We start from the raw sequence: 17,064 nt of genomic DNA, 5'->3' as shown, positions 1-17,064 counted from the left end.
TTCCTGCTGTAAGTGCTGGTGGAACTGATTGATTGATGTGCCTCTTCCCCAAGTGCCTCCCCGGCTTCTTAGTGGGGGCAGAAGGAGGAAGGCAGGAAATGTTGGCCAATTCCCTTGGGACCTGGGTTTTAGCTCCTTGAGAGCTTTCTAGAGCCTGGTTTACAGGAAGGAGCGAGGCTGGGATTTGGGATGACGTGAAAGGGGCAGGGAAGCCCTAAGGATAAAGACAGGAGTGTTGATGGTTGAATGGGACCCACAGTAACTCCTAACCATGACCATGGCCTGGGACTGGGACGTCAGTCTGCTGCCCAGTGGGGACAGGATGGCTGCAGCCAGAGGGTGATCTGGGCCCTTCTCCACTTCCTCCCTTGCCCATCTCCCTCTCCCCTTTCTCTCTCCTCCTGAGCAGACCTCACCACTGCATGTCTGCCCTCTCTCATTCTCTTCCCCGCTTCCGGGATCCCTCCAGCTAGACAAACCCAGGGCAGGGAGTGAGGCCAGAAAGACAGGGATACACCCATACTGAGGGCCAGCCAGGCGCCAGGGCTTCAGGCCTCTGCCCCGGGCGTGGTATGTGGGCCACTCCTGGCCGGGGCATCTGCTCTTAGAATGTCCCACAGGCCTGACTCTGGGGTCTCCTCTGGCCCTTCTGGGCCCTGCTGGTGCTGTAATCACTCACCTGCTGACACCCTTCCTAAAGCCAAGAGGGCTGTCTCTTGATGCCACCTGGCTGAGGCTGGGGCACTGCCTGGCTTTGGAGGAGAAGGCAGGAGCTGGGAAACGGACACATGTTGTGTTTCCAGAGACCAGGTGTTCCCAAAGGTCGCCTGGCCTTTTCTTATGGGGCTCTTTCAGTGATCTAAGGGGGCCTTGGGAGGGACTGCGCTGTGTGAGAATGGGGGACTGGAGGAGCCGGGCAGAGCTTTAGATGGGGGGACCCTAGTGCAGCGGGAGAGCAGGAGGCGTCCCAGAGGCCTGTTGGGAGAGACTCCTGGAAGTTTTGTCACCGGGAAGTGCCTCTTCCCTGCAGCTGTGATCCTCACCGCCCTCTAGCCCAGTGCCTCCCTGTCTGTCACCCCTTCAGCCTGGGAACCCAAGGCCACAGGAAGCCGGGCTGCCTCGCAAAAGGATGACCCGGCTCTCCACTGCCCGGCAGGGGGTGCCCCACGGCATCTGCCCCCCATCCTTTTAGGTGTGGGGCAATGTGGTCAGGACCTGGTCCAGGCCTTCTGGCCACGGGTGGGGGAGGGGCAGCCTAGCGTCCCCACCCCCAGAGGTTCCTTGGCTGAGTTTGTTTGCCAGGGTGACCTGTTTAATCATCTCATTTTCTGGTGGCCGTTTATTCCTCGTTTCCACGGTTACGGCCCCATTAAGGGGAGAAGCAATAAGGCGGTGAGTCAAACAGGTAATAAAAACATGCAGAGCCCCTGTGCACCAAGAGAGGGTGGCGGGGAGGGGCGCAGTGAGCTGAGACGGCCTGGGGGGAAGCCCAGGTGACACCCTACCCGCCTTGTCTTCCAGAGGCCCGAGTGTCCCCAAGACCCAGTCCTCGGCTTAGAACTGTCCCCAGCCCTTGGTCCCCTGGGCAACAGGCTGTCCCAGGTAAAACAGGAAGGAGAAAGGTGAGAGGGGGCGTGATACAAGCCCCCCCAGGGCTGCCCCATAGTTGGTGTGTGACCTGTTTCCAGGCCCCACCTCGTGCTCCCTTGGTAGGGGCGGGGGATGATTTCTGACATTGGTTTGAGCTCTAGAATTTTTTTTCTGCCAACTTTATCAGAAAGCATATTTGTGGTGAGTGCTGCTAACAGGGCCAGTCCAGTGAGTAAATATTCCTGGTGTGGACGGCCCTGTGACCTTGAGAGGGAAGAGTACAGTGGTTCGGCCAAGGGCATGTAAGGAGAGGAGAGGACGGCCAGGCGCCCACAGGCCCCCGTGCTGGGTGGGGGGCCCTTCCTGGGAAGGGGTCAGGTGGGGGCCACGGGGTCAGGTTGGCCCCAGTAGCCTCTTCCCAGCAGCATGGTCTACCTCAGGCCCCAGTGACACCAGCTGGAGCTGGTTTGTGTGACTTGCTGGCTGGGGGACAGGCCAGCAGCTGCCCCTGTGGGCTCCCTTCCTCTGGTAAATGGAAGCTGAAATGAAAGTCAGCCTCTTTCCGGCTCCTCTGAGTCCAGGGGCACGTGCCTCTCTCCCAGCGTCCCCTCCCTGTCCTTCCCAGGAGCTTCCTGGGTATCCCCAGCCCCTCTGCCCTGCCCTCGAGGTTTTTGAAGAAGCAGAGGCAGTGGGCTGACTGGAGTGGACAGGGGGAGGCTGGGGTCTTCCTGTTGCCAGGAAGGGTGGGGCTCAGGCAGGCGTGGCAATTGCAGGCCATGCGGGGCCAGCTTCGTGCCCGGGGGCTGAGGATCAGTGGCTCAGAGAGAAAACAGCGGAGGCCACTCTGAGGGCTCCCGGGTTGGGGAGGAGCCTCCCTTCTCTCCAGTGCCATGCTCCCTGACAAACTCACCCAGGTCTGTGTCTCTGATTATTAATTTCAAAGTTGATTTCTGATGAGAGAGAGAGGGAGGAAGGTGTGAGAAATGGGGGAACCCTTTGGCTGGGAAATGCGTCTTGGGAATGGGCCTAGATGAGTGAATATTCTGATCAAACAATTAAAAATAGAACACGCTACCGAGGCCCCAGCTGCCGAGGTTTTTCAGCAACTGTCACCAGCGGGTTCATGGGGCAGGTGGCACTGGAAAGGAGTTTTTCCATAAACGGCAAATATCAGAGATGACAGTGTGCCCCCCACTTCCCTCCCAGTTCTCCCCAGACTCCCCTCTAGGGCCTGTGCAGCTTCAGGGCCGCCCTTCTCCCCTGCAGGGCCCGGCCGCAGTGGTGAAGTCATTGCCAGATGCCTTGGTAATTGCTTTAAGAATCTAACTTAAAATAAGATGAAAACTTATATTCCTGGGTAAGGAGTAATTTCCAATGTAATAGTAAATTAATGAAAGGATTATACCAGGGGGCCTGGCAGGGAGGCCATGCTCATCTGATAAATGCAAGGGTTTCAGGCAAGACAGCTCCATTCCAGGAGGCTCCCGACCTTTGGTCCAGGTCCCACACTGGGGGTTCCTCTTGGGCTCCCCCGTGGGCAGCTGAGTTGGGAGGACACATTCCATGTGTGCTCAGCGTCCCTCTCAGTGATGGGAACCAGCTTTTCAAAACCTACAGATGGGAGAGGCTCAGGTCTGGCCTCCACGGGCATGAGAGGCCCTGTGTCATCAGTTCACCCAGGAAAGAGAGAATTTCTGACACCCAAGAGTGTGGGCCCCCAGGAGCAGATGCGAGTTAGACTCCAGGCCGAGTTCCCAGCTCTTAGACTGTGTGGTCAGCATCGTGGTGTCTCGCGATAGGATGACCAACCACCCCAGTTTGCCCAGAACTGCAAAGACCCATGTGTGTGAACCCCCTCAGTCCTGGGCAAACTGGGAGGCTTAGTCAGCCCTGTTTGGAGGCAGGAGGATGGGCTACTTGACATGGTCCCACCCTCAGGGTCCTGGAGAGCCCAGGCACCTCCTGAATGGACCATGTCTCTGTTCAGGAGGAGGACTTGCAGCTGGCTCCACTTAAACCCCCTTGCGCTACCAAAACTTGCTTCCAGGCCGCTGCGTTCCACTAGGCGCGTGTGCTGGGGCAGGCATGCTCGTGTCCCCCGCTCCCCGCCCCCTCCAAGGCATGGCAGAGCACTGCTTGGAAGCTTGACCCGGCCTAGAAAAGGGCTTGCAGCTGTGATCCCACCCCTTTAACACTGAGCCTTCTCCCCCCAAACATATCACAGTCCAGACGGGGCTTCTGGAGAGGATGCGGACAAGGGAACCCCCACCCCCAAGCCCCTCACTCCCCCACCACCGTAAGTTTATCAGCGCCTTCCTTCCGAGAGAGCCACACCTAACATATCATCTCTCCTCATCAGTTCCCTTGGAGGAAGACAAGGAGCTGTCCCATTTCCTAAGTGGGGAAGCTGGAGGCCCGGAGATACTGCTGGGTTTGTTCCCAAATGCTAAATGTCAGAGGACTTGGTGCGGGGCGCCCCTGAGCACTGTTCCAAATGGCAGCACTGAGTGAGGACACACAGGCCTCCAGCCCTAGGTATCTACCGTGCTGCCTGGCCCACGTCCCCAAACATCTCTGGCCCCGATGTGTACCCCACCTGTAGTCTGCAAACACATCCCTGGGCTGCAGGGATGCAAGATAAAATGTAGTTGTTGATGCAGATGCATTTTGAGCTTCTGGGGGAAAGCCTCCTTTTCTAGAGGCATCCCGGAGTGCCCATCTTTGCAGAAACGAGTGCTCCCATCTGTCCGCAGGGGAGGGTTGCAGGTGGGTGGAACGCACTCCGACTTGTCTCTGTGGTGAAATGGAAGTGAAAGGACTGGACGCAGAGCCCTTCAGGAAGCATGTCTAACCGAACGGGCATTCTCCTAGGAGACAGGTTCACGATGCATGTTTGCTGGATATGTTTCTGTGTAAGCAGAGACTTGCTGGAAGGGAAGATGGGGACCTTGCCCCCCGGTTCACTGGGAGACCATTTTCAGTTCAGCTCTGCGGTGGGTGTCTCCACTGGCTTTCTTTGCTACTAGAGGTGATGGGGCTGCCTTGGGAACTCCACGTGATAAACTCACTGCTTTGCAGGCAGCTGTCCCAGGTGGGGTTTTAGGCTGGGGGCTGTATTGAGTTTGCCCAGGTCTTTGCTTGGTTGTAATCTGAGAGTGAACCAGCTTCTTTCCCAGTGTAGACCACACTGTGCTTTAGGAGGTGGGGAAGATTTGTGCTGCCCTTCCCCCACACCTACTCCTAACCCAGAGGAAGGAACGTGGGGCAGTAGGGCTGAGAATTCCTAGCCTAAACAACCCAGGAAAGCACGCTCAGAGAGCCAAGCCAGAACCCCAGATGGTGTGATCCGATTGTAACTGGAAGGATGGTGGCTTTGGTTGTTAGATGTTATGTGACCGTTGCTGTTTAAGCAGACAGATTGGTGACTTCCAGACTGCAGAGATCAGAGCGGGCTCTCCTTTATTTATCTTTGCGTACCCGCAGAGTTAGAGGACCGAGTGGAATAGCTAGAATGGACAGGCAGGCCTGGAGAGCCAGGCACAAGAAGCAGGGGGATGACAGGCCCCGGCCCAGCCACACCAAGCGCACCACGCAGGGCCACAGATGGCACCACGCCTCCAAGGGCCATATGGGGTTCCTTTCCCTGGCCTCCCTGATAGGAAGGATCACTTTGGGGCTCCTCGGGAGGCCTTCAGATGGAGCTGAAGAGCCCCTAGGCAGGGCCAAGAGCCCAGAGAAGGAGATGGAGATGTTTTCTATTTCCTGGTCCCTGGGGGGCCCAGGGACAGATTGAGACAGGCTCCTTGCAGGGAAGGTGTTAACAAACAGCAGGTGATTAAACATGACAAGCGGTGACATTTCTGTTCAGGGTTCTCAGTCCCGGCAAAGCCAAGAATGAAGCTATAAACCCTGACATTTTGTGTTATGCACTGAGAGGTTTTTAATAGACCTCGCTCCCTCTTCCCCACTCAACTTCTCTCCCTCCTCTACTTCCCCTCTCGGTATCCACTGCCCCACTGGAAGCTCCTGCCTCCCGGATTCCGCCGGGCCCCCAGGAGTCTTCCGGGGCCCTTGATCCACAGACACTCCTCCCTCTGCCTCTGCAGGGCTGAGTACAACCCTGCCCTCTGCCTCTCCCACTTCACGGTGATATTTCCCGTTGCCCCTTCTCCCCGTCCCGGCACCCCCCACTTCCCTCCAGCCTTCACTGTCTCACCTCCTGTTTTTGGGTCCTGATCTCACAGCCTCACCCTTAGCTGCGGCTGTCCCAGTTGTCTGGGACAGCAGGTGGCTGTCCCTGTGTGTTGTGTTTATAACATTTTCAGACAAACTTGAAAGTGGATGTAGGGAGATGGTGGGGCTTGGTATGGGATTTTCCCCCATCTTTTTTTCAATCCCCTTTTCTCCTTTTGGGACAGGGACAGGAGGTGGAGGGAGAGAGTCGCACTTCACTGCAAACAGTTGCAGGATTTATTCAGAAAGGGACTGGCCAGCAACAGTTGTTCCTCTCGCCGAGAAATGTTCGAACAACTGGGGCCTCTTTTGTTCTCTGGGTAGAGCCCTGTGAAGGGCGTTTGGAGGTGAGCCTGGGGCTCAAGAGGGCCAGAGACCCAAGAGAAGGGGCTTCAGCTCAGTCCCACCCAGGGAGTCCCCACCCCACCCCTCCAGGAAAGGTTCCTGGAGCCCCGAGGGGGTCAGTCCAGAAGCCAGGCCACGTCCCTGGGGCCCAGCGCCACCCTAACGAGCTCCAGAAGCACTGGGTTTTCTGCATTCACTCAGTCAATATTTGTTGGGCCAGACACTGCGCTGAAACAGTGGTCTCGTCCCAGGGATCTTGCAGTCTGGTGAGGCAGAGGTCTAATTAAACAAGTTACTATGAAAGTGCTAAGACTAGGACAGGGTGCAGTGAGGACAGAGGGAGAGGACAGTCCCGGGAGGCTGCCCAGAGAAAGTGAAATGTCAGCTGGGACCCATGAAGGCTGTGTAGGAGGAGGGGTGGCCGGGCTCTGAGGTGAAGGAGCAGTTTCTGCCGCTGAGGGGGCAGCGTGCTGAGGGCCTGGCAGGGAGAGGCGGGCGCTGCCTCACATGGGCTGGCTGGCAGGTGGAGTAGGGTCTGGGCTGTGCCCTTTGATCTCTGAGTGACTGACCCCGTACATGCTCTTCTGTCCACCCTTCCACCATCCCGACCCACCTGGGCCAGGCGTGGAGGTCAGGGTGAGGATGGGGATGAGGGTAATGGATAAAAGACTTCAAGGAAAAAAAAAAAAAGGTCAGGCACGGTGGCTCCTGCCTATAATCCCAGCACTTTGGGAGGCCAAGGCGGGCAGATCACTTGAGGCTGGAAGTTCGAAACCAGCCGGGCCAACATGGCGAAACCCCGTCTCTACTAAAAATTCAAAAAGTAGCCAAGTGTGGTGGCAGGCGCCTGTAATCCCAGCGACTTGGGAGGCTGAGGCAGGAGAATCGCTTGAATCCAGGAGGTGGAGGTTGCAGTGAGCCGAGATTGTGCCACTGCACTCCAGCCTGGGCGACAGAGTAAGACCCTGTCTCCAAAAAAAAGAAAGAAAGAAAGAAAGATGGGGGTGAGGCCCCAGCCCTGCCCCAGTGGGAGGGGGAACACCCGGGAAGTCAGTGTGTGTCCCCAAAGACTGGGGCTGCGTCTGCTTTCCCGCTTCCTAGTCCCTGTTGCTGGTGACTCATTGGTAGTGGGGTGGGACGGAGGCTTCAGACCTGCATGGAGGAACTGGAGAGGGCCCAGCTGGGCTCAGCAGCAAGTCCGTCTGCCCGCCTGCCCCTTCACCTTCTCCACCCGCTGACCTCAGGGCCCAGCCGGGGTGTGGCCTCTTGGACGCCCTCCTCCAGCCCAAAGTTGCCCTACCCTTTGCGCTCTGGAGTGTGACACAGTAATGCTGGAGCGTGCAACACTGCACCCCCTGAGACCCAAAGCCATCCTCCCAGGATCCCTAGGGCAGAGGGGGCAGTGCCAGTAGCTGCTCAGGATATATTTGAGAAACTCAACCAAGCCAGGAGGAGAGGATTTGAGTTCACCTTTAGAGCAGGACTAATGAGGAGCCTGCAGACAGACCTGTGGGTCCCTGGTGTCCAGAAGACAGGCCCTGGGGGTCCAAGTTCAGCTCCTTCCTCCACCCCCAGAGCCGGCCTCGCACCCCCCTCCCCTCCACCATCCCCCGCCGCCCCGCCCCGTGCCATCCAGCCGGAGCCCTCCGGCAGCATCGTAAGGCCTTCTGCCTGGAAGGGGCTCTCCTGGCCTTTAGGGTACTTCCTTCCCTGCTTACTCAGCCTTTGCCCAGAGGTCAGGCCCAGGACACCCCACCTTCACATTGGTTCCCTGAGAAGGAAGCCAGGCGGCATAAAGCCATCACTCCCCTTCCCCAGCCTGCCCCACCCCAGCCTTTCTGCAGGAGCTGGCCTGGGCTCCTTAATGCCACCCCTTCTCAGTCCAGACCCCCTAGAGTCCAGCCAGGAGTCCCCTAAGGGCCAAGGGGCTCAGCCTTCCTCCCTCACTTGGCAGCTGGGTTTGGGACGGGTAATGGGTAGGGATGCTGGAAGGGTAGGGGAGGGGAGTCCCAGGGCTGGGACTTGGCCTGCTGCCCCTGCAGATCCGGAGCCAGGTTTTACTGTAATCCCTACATCCTGTTGCAGATCCTTAATCAGCTGGAGCCCAGGTTGGGCCGGACCCTGTGGTGACACTCGGGGTTGTAGTATGGAAAACCTGAAGTGGAGCTTCCAGAGTTGGGGTTGGGGACTGTGAAGATGAGGCAGGTGGAGGGGAGGAGAAGGGTGCCCGTGCAGGCACAGGATGTGGACAGAGCCCAGACCCACCACCCACTCGACCCAGGCTGGGGGTGGAGGTGCAGCTGTTGCAGGCTGGGAACCAGGACTATGGTATGGGGAGGAGGGGCCCGCGGGGGGCCCTAGGAGAATGCCAGAGTATGTGGGGGCTGCTACATTGCTTGGTAGCACCATCGAGACAGCTGGCCCGAGTCATCCTGATGGTGAACAATGACTCCAGCCTGGAATCGGCAGAGGGAGCCCTGGGTGGCGTTGGCTCCAGGGGTCTATTCTGACAGGGGCCTAAGTCCGGGGTTGGGAGTGTTTCCGCCTGCTGGGAGAGGGACCGCTTCCTGGGGCATGTGGTGCAGATGGCCCAGGAGACCTGTCTGCCTCAGGTTTGGGACTAGGCTCTGTCCTGGAGGCAGCAGGGGCCCTTTGGCAGGGCAGCAGGCTCCCAGGATCAGCCTATGCTTTCATCAAAAGCAGCAGGCCCTGGCGGAGAGCTCTGTGCCAGCCCTGCAGTCCCCTCGTGAATCCTGGGAAGTCGGGGCAGCGGGTACCCCTCCTGAACCTCAGCTCTTCATGGCCCAGGGAGCAGTGATGGAGGAGAGTGAGGGGACACGCATAGGCCAGAGATAGCCAGAGAGCGGAAGCCAGGGGTGGGCTGGCTCACAGCGGGCGGGCAGACGGGCGTCTGTCCTGCCAGGGGCCCAGGCTGGCTCTGCAGACAGCCTCTTTTCTATATGGAAATGAAGAATTTAGGCTAATGGAGCTCAACCATCTCTAATTTTGCGATGGCAGGAGGATTTTGATTGAAAGTAATTAAGCAAGCTAGCTGTAAAATTAATTAAAGCAAAAGGGGGGGATTTTTTATTGGATTGGATAGCGATATAGCGTCTGTCAGGCGGGGGACGGATGGGGGTGACCTGAATCCTCTGCCCTCCCCCCTCCCGCTCGGGACGTTTATGTCACTTTAATCTCCTTACAGCGGCTGCTGTGCATTTGTTTGAAATAATCAAGGAAATATGGTCAGAAATTGTCAGCTTTCAGATCTAATTTACCTGACGGCCCCTGCGCGAGCCGGCGCGGCCCAGGGAGCGAGTGTGCGTGAACGGGTGGGGGAGCTGGGTGGGCTCAGAGGACACTGGGATCTTCAGCCCCGGCCTCGGGCCCCCTCGCGGGGGCGGTGCTGCCCCGGCCCTGTGGGCACCTCCCTGGGCTCTGCCCCACTCTGGAACAGACCCCCCCACCCCCACCCACCTGCTGCCTCTCCCTCACACTGTAACCAGCTTTAGGGTTTAGGGAATATAGGATTAGGGAGGTGATTGTAATTCCTTCTTCCAGATGGCTGACAACTGCTCAAGCCCTCCACAGGGCCACCGTTTTAAAAATACTCCTAAATTAGTCCCCTCATGTCCTCGTCATGGTCGCCGTCGCTGGCCTCAGCAAGGGGATTGTGGAGACGGGCTGCAGGGAGGGCGGGTGGTGTGCCACCCCGTGTTCCTCTGCCACCTGCTGCCCACGCCGCCGCCTCTCCTGGGCTGGGCCTGCTGTCCGGGGCCTCTCTAGTCCAGGCTTTCCCTCTCATCCCCAGAGAGCGCCTGCCCTGTCTCCCCATCAACACACATTGGAAGGTCTCAGGGTCTCAGTCCCTGCAAGAGAAAGGTCCCCTCCTGCCACACACGTCCTACCCATTTCCGGTGGGTCAGCCAGGCCACGCAGCCAGCCTCCACTTTGCTTCCCCTGGAGAACGGGGGAGCCTGGCTTCCAGGCCTCGCACACCGCAGGTGCTGGTTCAGAGCCATTTGGGGTCCTTGCCCACTGGGCCATGTGTGGCTCAAATCCTCCGCAGCAGGGGGCCTTTGTGGTATTTGGGGCCCGAGGGGCCTGGTGCAATCTCCAAGGCTGCGGAAAGCTCTGCTTTGAAACAGAAATGTGTAGCATTGGATTTGCTGGGCCGGAGAGGGCTCAGACTGGGAACTGGGCCCCTGGATCTGCCTAGTCCTCACGAGTGAGTGGCCTGGGCTTTTGCCAAGTTTCTCAGCCTCTTGGACCTCGGTCCCTTTCCAGGTCTAAAGTTCTGTGCACCTAGGACAGCCTCCACCCTGATAGCTGTCCCCTGTCCCAAGGTGCGTTGGACCTAAGTGCAGGCTGCCCTCCTTAGCTCCGTGTCCAGCCAGAGCCACTTGCCACACCCCTGCCATGCCCCACACACAGGTTCTAGAAACAGTGGGTCAGGACGAGCAGCTGCTTCCCTGTTTGCCCACTTTAGACGTACCCATGAGAAGGCCCCTGTCCCCTCCTGCCCTCCTCGGTGCCACCCAGACACCCTCTGCCTTGCCCTCTGTCAATCCTTCCCCTGACCCTGAAGGTGCCTTCCCCTGCCCCCTCCTGCTCCAGCGAGGCTTTGGCGCTGGGTGACTCCGTCTGCCTCCTCCAGCAGCGAGGGAGTGTGAGCTCCTGGCGTTCCTTCCAGCCTGAGCAGAGCGGCTGGAGGCTTGGGAGGCATCACCTGCCCCCTCCTGAGCTCTCTCTGTCTCGACCCTCCACTCTGCCCTCACCGTGACTCACTCATCTTGGAGGCGGGGGGCGATGGAGCCCCAGGGGGCTCTGCCCAGGAAAGAGGGGGAGAAAAGCTGCTGGCTTTCCTTCACGTCCTACGTGCCAGAGCCCAGGCAGCACTGAAGTCTGTGGGGCCCTGCACCCCCTGACTGGCTGTGCCCACAGGGGCCTCAGCGAGAGGCAGTGGCAGAGCCAGGCAGTATGGGGTTCAGCCCGGACAGAGTGCATGCCCTTGATACCCGCCAGCTGCCAGGACCTAGATCCCGGGAGACAGGATGTTAGAGAGAGTCTCTGGCCCAGCCCAGCATCTCTTCTCCATGCAGGCTTCACAGAGGCTCCTGCTGGCCTGTGTGGCTGGGACGTGGAGGAACCAGCAAAGGCGTCCACGTCAGGAAACTGTGGGGCTGCTCGCCCCGGGCCAGGGGCTCGTTTCTGAGCTGTAGGCTGGTCGAGGGCAGGCACCAAGGTGGAGGGAGGCCTGCTGTGGAAATAGGATCCCAGGGCACCCCTAGGCAGGTTGGTCCACCGAGGCACAGAGAGAGATGGAGAGGCACAGAGAGAGATGGAGGAGCCCAGGAGGAGAGCCCCTTTGTTCAGAGGATGGTGGAGAGGCCTCCCCGGGGGCTCTTGGTGTCTTCTTTGTCCTGGTGGGAAGAGCCTGCATTGGGGATGTTCTGTTGAAAGGTCACCTTTTGGGGCTAACGCTGTGTGATGGAGTGAGAGCTTTGCTTCTGTGGTGGCTCTCCTTGGAGAGGAAGGACAGGGGTGAGCATGGGACAGGCAGGGGCCCTCCCTCAACGTGGCCGACAATAGCGGGAGCCCAGGGCTTCCGGGAGAGGGAATGAGAAGCAGCATGGGGGACGGGGGTCCGGGCCAGTCCAGCAGGGCCTTGGTGTCTGTCACTTGGTTGGCATGGGTTTGTCACCACCCTGAGATCACACATTCTGTGTGACCCTCAGGGGTTCCTGCTGTCCCTCCTTCCTTGGCCCCCAAGCCTCTGAGCAGGCCTAGGTCCAGGGGGAGCCCCGCCCTCTTCCTGGGGCCCCTCCCTGGCTGCTGGGGTTGGGCGCCTGGTTCATCCTGACTGTCTCTGCCATCCCTGGCAGGCAGGTGTCTGAGCCCCTGGGATGGAACTTGAGGGAGAAGAGGCAAGGCTGAGGGTAACAGGCCTAGCCCTGCCCATCCCAGGCAGCTCTGGCCCGGACCGGCCTGCCAGGCCAGCTCCCTGCAAACCTTGGGGAAAGAGGACTTTGCCGCTGGGGACCCACCTGGCCCAGGAAGCTGGCCACTTTCTCCCTTTGTTGGGGGTGGGGGGGGGGTCATGTGCTAGGCTGGCTGGCCCCCGAGTCCTTACCCATGCTTAATAGGGGCCAGGAGAGTTCCCATAGTGCCCTGGCCACAGGATCCAGAGGCAGGGGTAGGGGTACCTGCCCAACTGGGAGAGGAGCCCAGAGTGGCTGGGGTCCAGCCCCAGGAATCATTAACTGCAGGGTCTCCTAATGCCCGCAGTGTCGGGGGACCTGGCACCTCCCCCAGCCAGGTCCGTGCGGAGTTGGCCGGATGTGACCGAGGCACTGGGCTCCCGGAAGTGCCTGAGGCTGAGCTGGGCACTGGCCTCACCCCTCTTGAAGCCTCCCCACCCAGGCCTGTTCCCTGCCCATGCCAGACCACCCCGCCTGCTCGCACTGTGCCCACCCTGCCACCCCAGGACCCCCATTCCTTCCCGCCAGCCTTGCCTCGGGGTTTCTGGCCCTTTAGGCCTCAGGACTCCCTGGCTCGACCCTGGCCCCGTCCTCTGTCCCCACTGGCTTCACAGTCACATTTTGCTGCCAGCGCAGGGCACTGAAAAACTGCTGGCACTGCCAAAAACCCTGTGTGCGCTACGACTCCCCAAACATCCCTTTATTTTTATTGTTCTGTTAATTACTGTTTAAACTTTAATAAGTCACTTCGTCAGGAGGGGGGACCTGCCGTGAGCTTTTCTGTGCAAACATGGGCCGGGAGTGACTCGGGTGTAATATAACCCTTTATGCGATGTGGGAATGTTTAGATTGTAACAGAAACTTGTTATTTTAATGACAGTTGGTTGCGGGGGGTATCTGAGCACAGAAAAACAGGAGGGGTGGGCGCTCCCCTTGCATCCCCACGGAGGGCTTGGGGCAGCCAGGGCTGCTCCCCTGCTGCCACGACAGAGGGCCCAGGGACCCATGGGGACCTTCTTGGGCTGCCCACTGGTCAGCTCCAGACTGGGCCTGGATGGCTGGGGCAGGTGAGGCCCAGGAAGAAGTTGGCTTTAGCGGGGATGGGAGCAGGAGGCCTAGGGCAGCTCTCAGATCCCCAGGCAGAGGTGAGCAGGGCCACACGGGGCTGAACTCCAGGTCCGCGGTGCCCTGCAGTTACCAGGCAGGAAGCAGTGCTCCCGGCTCCGAGGAGGGGACTCTGCCCACAGTCACCGTGGAGCATCAGGGAGGCACCGTGTGCTCTGCAGCCCCAGCCAGACGTGTGCCCACATCATCCCCTCAGCAACGCTGTGTTACAGTTGGGGACCCGAGCCCAGGGCAGGGAAGACGCTGAAGTGATGAGCTTTCCAAGGGGCCAGGTCTCTGGAGTCGATTTGTCTTATGTGGAAGTTGCCAAAGCCCAGGTGCCCCACGGTGGCCTCAGAGGGCTGGACGCCCTCCCGCAGCAGCGGTGCCGGGGAAGGCTCGGACCCCACGCTGGATTCAGGACTGTCTGCGTCGGCTGGTGGGGGCTTGGGCCGGGCATCTCTCAGGTTCCTCTTTGCCTTCATCAGGAGAGGGAGCAGGCAGGTGAGGCAGGGTCACCCTGAGACCTGGAGGCACTGGCCCTCCTCTTAGAAGGTCTTCCCATCTCCGGGGAAGTCAGGGGCTCATGCCCAGGTAGGGGTGATGGTGGCCAATGCCCTGACTCTGTAGGAAGAGGCACTTCTGCACCAGAGCTGCTTCTAGTGCAGGGGCACCTGGGGAGGGCATCTTGCCCCAGCATCTGTGGGGCCCCTACAGGCACCTCAGGATACCTTAGGGCCTGTTTCCCTGCCTTGTCGCCATTCAGTCCATCTGTCAGTCTGTCCGTCTGCATAGCTGAGCTTCTGCTCTGATCCAGGCACTGCGGTGGCAGGGATGACAGAGGCCTGCACTTGCCCTCAAGGGCTAGCCCTGGTTGGGGTTAGTACAGGCCATCCAGAGAGGGCAAGGAGGGCAAGACCCAGGGCGCCTGGCCTCAGCCCGAGGCATGGATGGTCCTGTTGAGCCAAGGAGGAGACCCTTACTCTCTGGGCTCTCCTGCCCACGGAGGGTCCACATGGAAGCTGTCCTGCCCTCGCCCCACCTCCTGCTGGCAGGGCCAGAGGTTCAGGGACCGGGTTCCCTAGAGCTGGAGGTGAGAGCCCCCCAGATGGTGGCAGCAGCATGGGCCACGAATCGCTGAGGTTTTCCTTTTCCAAGCAGCGCGTTTCCCTAAATTGTCTTTGACTGCGTGCATGGGTAATGAAAGTTTATGCCCTTGTTAGAAGGACAGGCGGCCAGTTCCAGTTAGAACTGGGGCTGTCTCCCTGCCAGCCCCCTCAGCCCCCCTCCCCAGCAGGAGAGAGGCAGCGTGAGCACAAGAGTGCGAGAGAGTGTGTGTGCGTGCACGCGCGTGTGTGCACACACACAACCTCCCCCTCCCTGGCGGATAAGAAGGCTGTTAGGCGAAGGGAGAGGGGACGAAAAAAAATTTCCATATTTGTGTAAGTTGCTTTAAAAGCATTTTATCATGTCATAAAAAAGGGAAAGTACTCTCAGAAATTGATCCTCTCCGCCAGCCCATTGGACAGAAGGACGTTGGATGTTAATGGCCATCCTGCTCCAGGGTGGCTTATTAAAAAATTTATACATAAATGCTTAAAATTGCATAAATTATTTAAAAAAACCAACAAAGTAAGCAATTTGAATTCCCTCTTTTCCTCCCCTTCACTCGGTCCCCCTTTTCCAGCCCCTCCGCAGGGCCCTCCCGGTCCCCAGGCTCCCGCCCCCCTCGGAGCTTTTCCCCTCTTTTCTCCACTCGCCACTGCACCCCAACGCCGTCCACCGTGCCTTCCTCTGGGGCTTCCCTGCCTCACCCACAAATTAATGGAACCGCCAGCCCACCTCCAAACACTCACAGGCACACGCGCTAATAAAAACACCACTAATAATGCCCCAAATCGCAAAATTAAATATTAAGGCCAAAGGAGGCGGACGTGGAACGGAGCCGCCGCCACCGTCGCCGAAGTTGGAGCTGATGAGTGTGTCTCTCGCAGGCGTGGAATGTCACCCACACATCCTGGAGACTGGAGTGGGGAGTTTTATGATGGTTTTTCATTGATTTGTTTCCCCAGCGCAGCTGCCGACCTCTATTGAGGGACAAACATAATCAGCACTGACGCAAATTAGATGGTTATTCGTTTTGAAAATTGACAGAAAAACAATAAAAAAGATGAAATGCTCCCAAATCAATAGATATAATGAAATTCAAATAATCCGAGAGATGAGGTCTCCATGGCAACTGATAATGTGGAAAAGAAAACAATTTAATAAAGGACAGACACACTTTGAAAACAGATTGGGCCCGGGGAGGGGGGCGGGCCGGCGGGCGGAGGGCTGGAGCGCGGGCTGGCGAGTGAAGGATCACTGTCCGTCCCAAGGACACCCGCCATAATTAAGCGAGGCTTTCGGCCCCAGAAAGTGCAGATTCAGGTTTTAATACACAAAATTATTTCAGGAGCAGTGAATCGGAAAGTCGTTTGTAATGACCTTCCTGAGAGGCCCGGGCGCGGGGCATGTTGGAGGCTGGGCGGCCGGGCGGCTGAGTTATGGCATATTTGTGTTTTTATAGTGCGGAGGGGAGGGGGTGGCGGGGGGAGGGGGGAGAAGGTTAAACAGTATTTACAGCTCAGTTGTTTTCAGAGAGGAAAGAGAAATAGAGTTCATGGGGAGATGCGGCGGGCGGGTGAGCCGGGGAGGCCTCTCGGGCAAGCAGGGAAAGGAGGTGGCCTGGGCAGGTCCCCCACCTCGGGCTGCCTTGCCCATGTCCGTCTCTGGGACCTAGAGCAGATGCCAGGAGCCGCCTCTCCCACTCCGGTCTCTGGCATGGCACAGCTTGTGGGGCTGTCTAGGTCTGGGGCCTCTCCAGGGCAGTCCAGGCTGTGTGGACACCCAGCCAGCCACACCTGCTCCCGTGAAAAGGCAGGGTGTTTCTGCCATCATCCTAGCCTCGCACCCTCCAGTGCACTGCATGGCATTTGGCCACCCATTTAGATGATGCTGCCTTTCCTGAGCCCAGTGCCGCATCTGGGGTGTGCCAGCCTCGGGCATAGCGAGTAAGGACCCGAGGTGACATCATGCTCCGCTGCGGTGGCCCACAGCTTACAGCCTCCTGCCTCCTTTTCCAGGCTCCACCCCCCTGCCAAGTGCCCACCTGGGGCTGGGAAAGGGAAAAGCTTGGGCCCTTTGGGTTTGGCAGAGGTGGGGGCCACAGAGAGGGGAGGGGACCAATCAGACCCCTTCCACTGCCCTCCAGAGACACTTGCCCGGAGCAGGGCAGCTCAGGCACTGAGAGTCAGCCCAGCCCTGGGGGTCCTAGGCTCACCCGAAGCCCCTTCCCTCACATCTGTCTCCCCTCATGGCTGCAGGAGCCATGTTTGTGTTCTGTTACCACGACCACACGCAGCACTCTGAGATTCCACATGTGCACATGTGAATATAACGGGATTGTACAAACACAGGCATCCGAGCGTGTGTGCGCGCGCACAGGCATGCACGCGGTCTGTGCGCGTTTGCTCAGTGTGTGTGTTTTAAATCTCCCCTGGGTGGTAACTCTCTTTTTTCTCCCCTTCCTGTTTGGCTGTGACCTGGGGGAGATTGATAGCCAGCCTGTGCGGTGGATGCTAACAGTTCCCCTGATTTATAGAGTTACTTACGCTAAGTGAGGCCACTTAGACGCGTCTGGATAGCGAACCTTTTAACTGGACTAAAAAAATCATAATAAATAAATAAACAAAGTGGGGCAAGCTAGGGCCCAGTGGCCAAGCATGCCCCCCACCCAAGTTGGAGCTGTTGAGGGCCAGGGGACCCGGCT

General features: G+C 58.7%; 1 protein-coding gene across 6 annotated transcripts in view, besides 8 other annotated features; it reads left to right on the top strand.

Annotated features, from left to right (window-relative positions):
* Nucleotides 1-17,064, top strand: part of CASZ1 (castor zinc finger 1) — a 160,043-nt gene that overhangs the window by 108,588 nt on the left and 34,391 nt on the right. The window lies entirely within an intron of this gene.
* Nucleotides 737-1,337: an enhancer, noted in NCBI's record as "H3K27ac-H3K4me1 hESC enhancer chr1:10746779-10747379 (GRCh37/hg19 assembly coordinates)". NCBI's record gives its function as "activates a minimal SCP1, AML or CMV promoter by ChIP-STARR-seq in primed H9 embryonic stem cells {active_cell/tissue: H9 hESC(primed)}" and the evidence as "EXISTENCE:reporter gene assay evidence [ECO:0000049][PMID:30033119]".
* Nucleotides 1,338-1,937: an enhancer, noted in NCBI's record as "H3K27ac-H3K4me1 hESC enhancer chr1:10746179-10746778 (GRCh37/hg19 assembly coordinates)". NCBI's record gives its function as "activates a minimal SCP1, AML or CMV promoter by ChIP-STARR-seq in primed H9 embryonic stem cells {active_cell/tissue: H9 hESC(primed)}" and the evidence as "EXISTENCE:reporter gene assay evidence [ECO:0000049][PMID:30033119]".
* Nucleotides 1,433-1,727: a silencer, noted in NCBI's record as "tiled region #10351; K562 Repressive non-DNase unmatched - State 7:EnhWF". NCBI's record gives its function as "represses a minimal TATA promoter and a strong SV40 promoter by Sharpr-MPRA in K562 cells {active_cell/tissue: K562}" and the evidence as "EXISTENCE:reporter gene assay evidence [ECO:0000049][PMID:27701403]".
* Nucleotides 7,684-8,473: an enhancer, noted in NCBI's record as "H3K4me1 hESC enhancer chr1:10739643-10740432 (GRCh37/hg19 assembly coordinates)". NCBI's record gives its function as "activates a minimal SCP1, AML or CMV promoter by ChIP-STARR-seq in naive H9 embryonic stem cells {active_cell/tissue: H9 hESC(naive)}" and the evidence as "EXISTENCE:reporter gene assay evidence [ECO:0000049][PMID:30033119]".
* Nucleotides 8,474-9,263: an enhancer, noted in NCBI's record as "H3K4me1 hESC enhancer chr1:10738853-10739642 (GRCh37/hg19 assembly coordinates)". NCBI's record gives its function as "activates a minimal SCP1, AML or CMV promoter by ChIP-STARR-seq in naive H9 embryonic stem cells {active_cell/tissue: H9 hESC(naive)}" and the evidence as "EXISTENCE:reporter gene assay evidence [ECO:0000049][PMID:30033119]".
* Nucleotides 10,843-11,631: an enhancer, noted in NCBI's record as "H3K27ac-H3K4me1 hESC enhancer chr1:10736485-10737273 (GRCh37/hg19 assembly coordinates)". NCBI's record gives its function as "activates a minimal SCP1, AML or CMV promoter by ChIP-STARR-seq in primed H9 embryonic stem cells {active_cell/tissue: H9 hESC(primed)}" and the evidence as "EXISTENCE:reporter gene assay evidence [ECO:0000049][PMID:30033119]".
* Nucleotides 11,632-12,422: an enhancer, noted in NCBI's record as "H3K4me1 hESC enhancer chr1:10735694-10736484 (GRCh37/hg19 assembly coordinates)". NCBI's record gives its function as "activates a minimal SCP1, AML or CMV promoter by ChIP-STARR-seq in primed H9 embryonic stem cells {active_cell/tissue: H9 hESC(primed)}" and the evidence as "EXISTENCE:reporter gene assay evidence [ECO:0000049][PMID:30033119]".
* Nucleotides 14,998-16,046: an enhancer, noted in NCBI's record as "VISTA enhancer hs289". NCBI's record gives its function as "enhancer in: neural tube[5/7]" and the evidence as "EXISTENCE:transgenic organism evidence [ECO:0001131][PMID:17130149]".

This window comes from Homo sapiens, chromosome 1, assembly GCF_000001405.40.
Source record: "Homo sapiens chromosome 1, GRCh38.p14 Primary Assembly".
In the NCBI taxonomy this organism is placed as follows: Eukaryota; Metazoa; Chordata; class Mammalia; order Primates; family Hominidae; genus Homo; species Homo sapiens.
The sequence above is the reverse complement of the archived record's forward strand: the minus strand, read 5'-3'. Positions and strand labels throughout refer to the sequence as shown.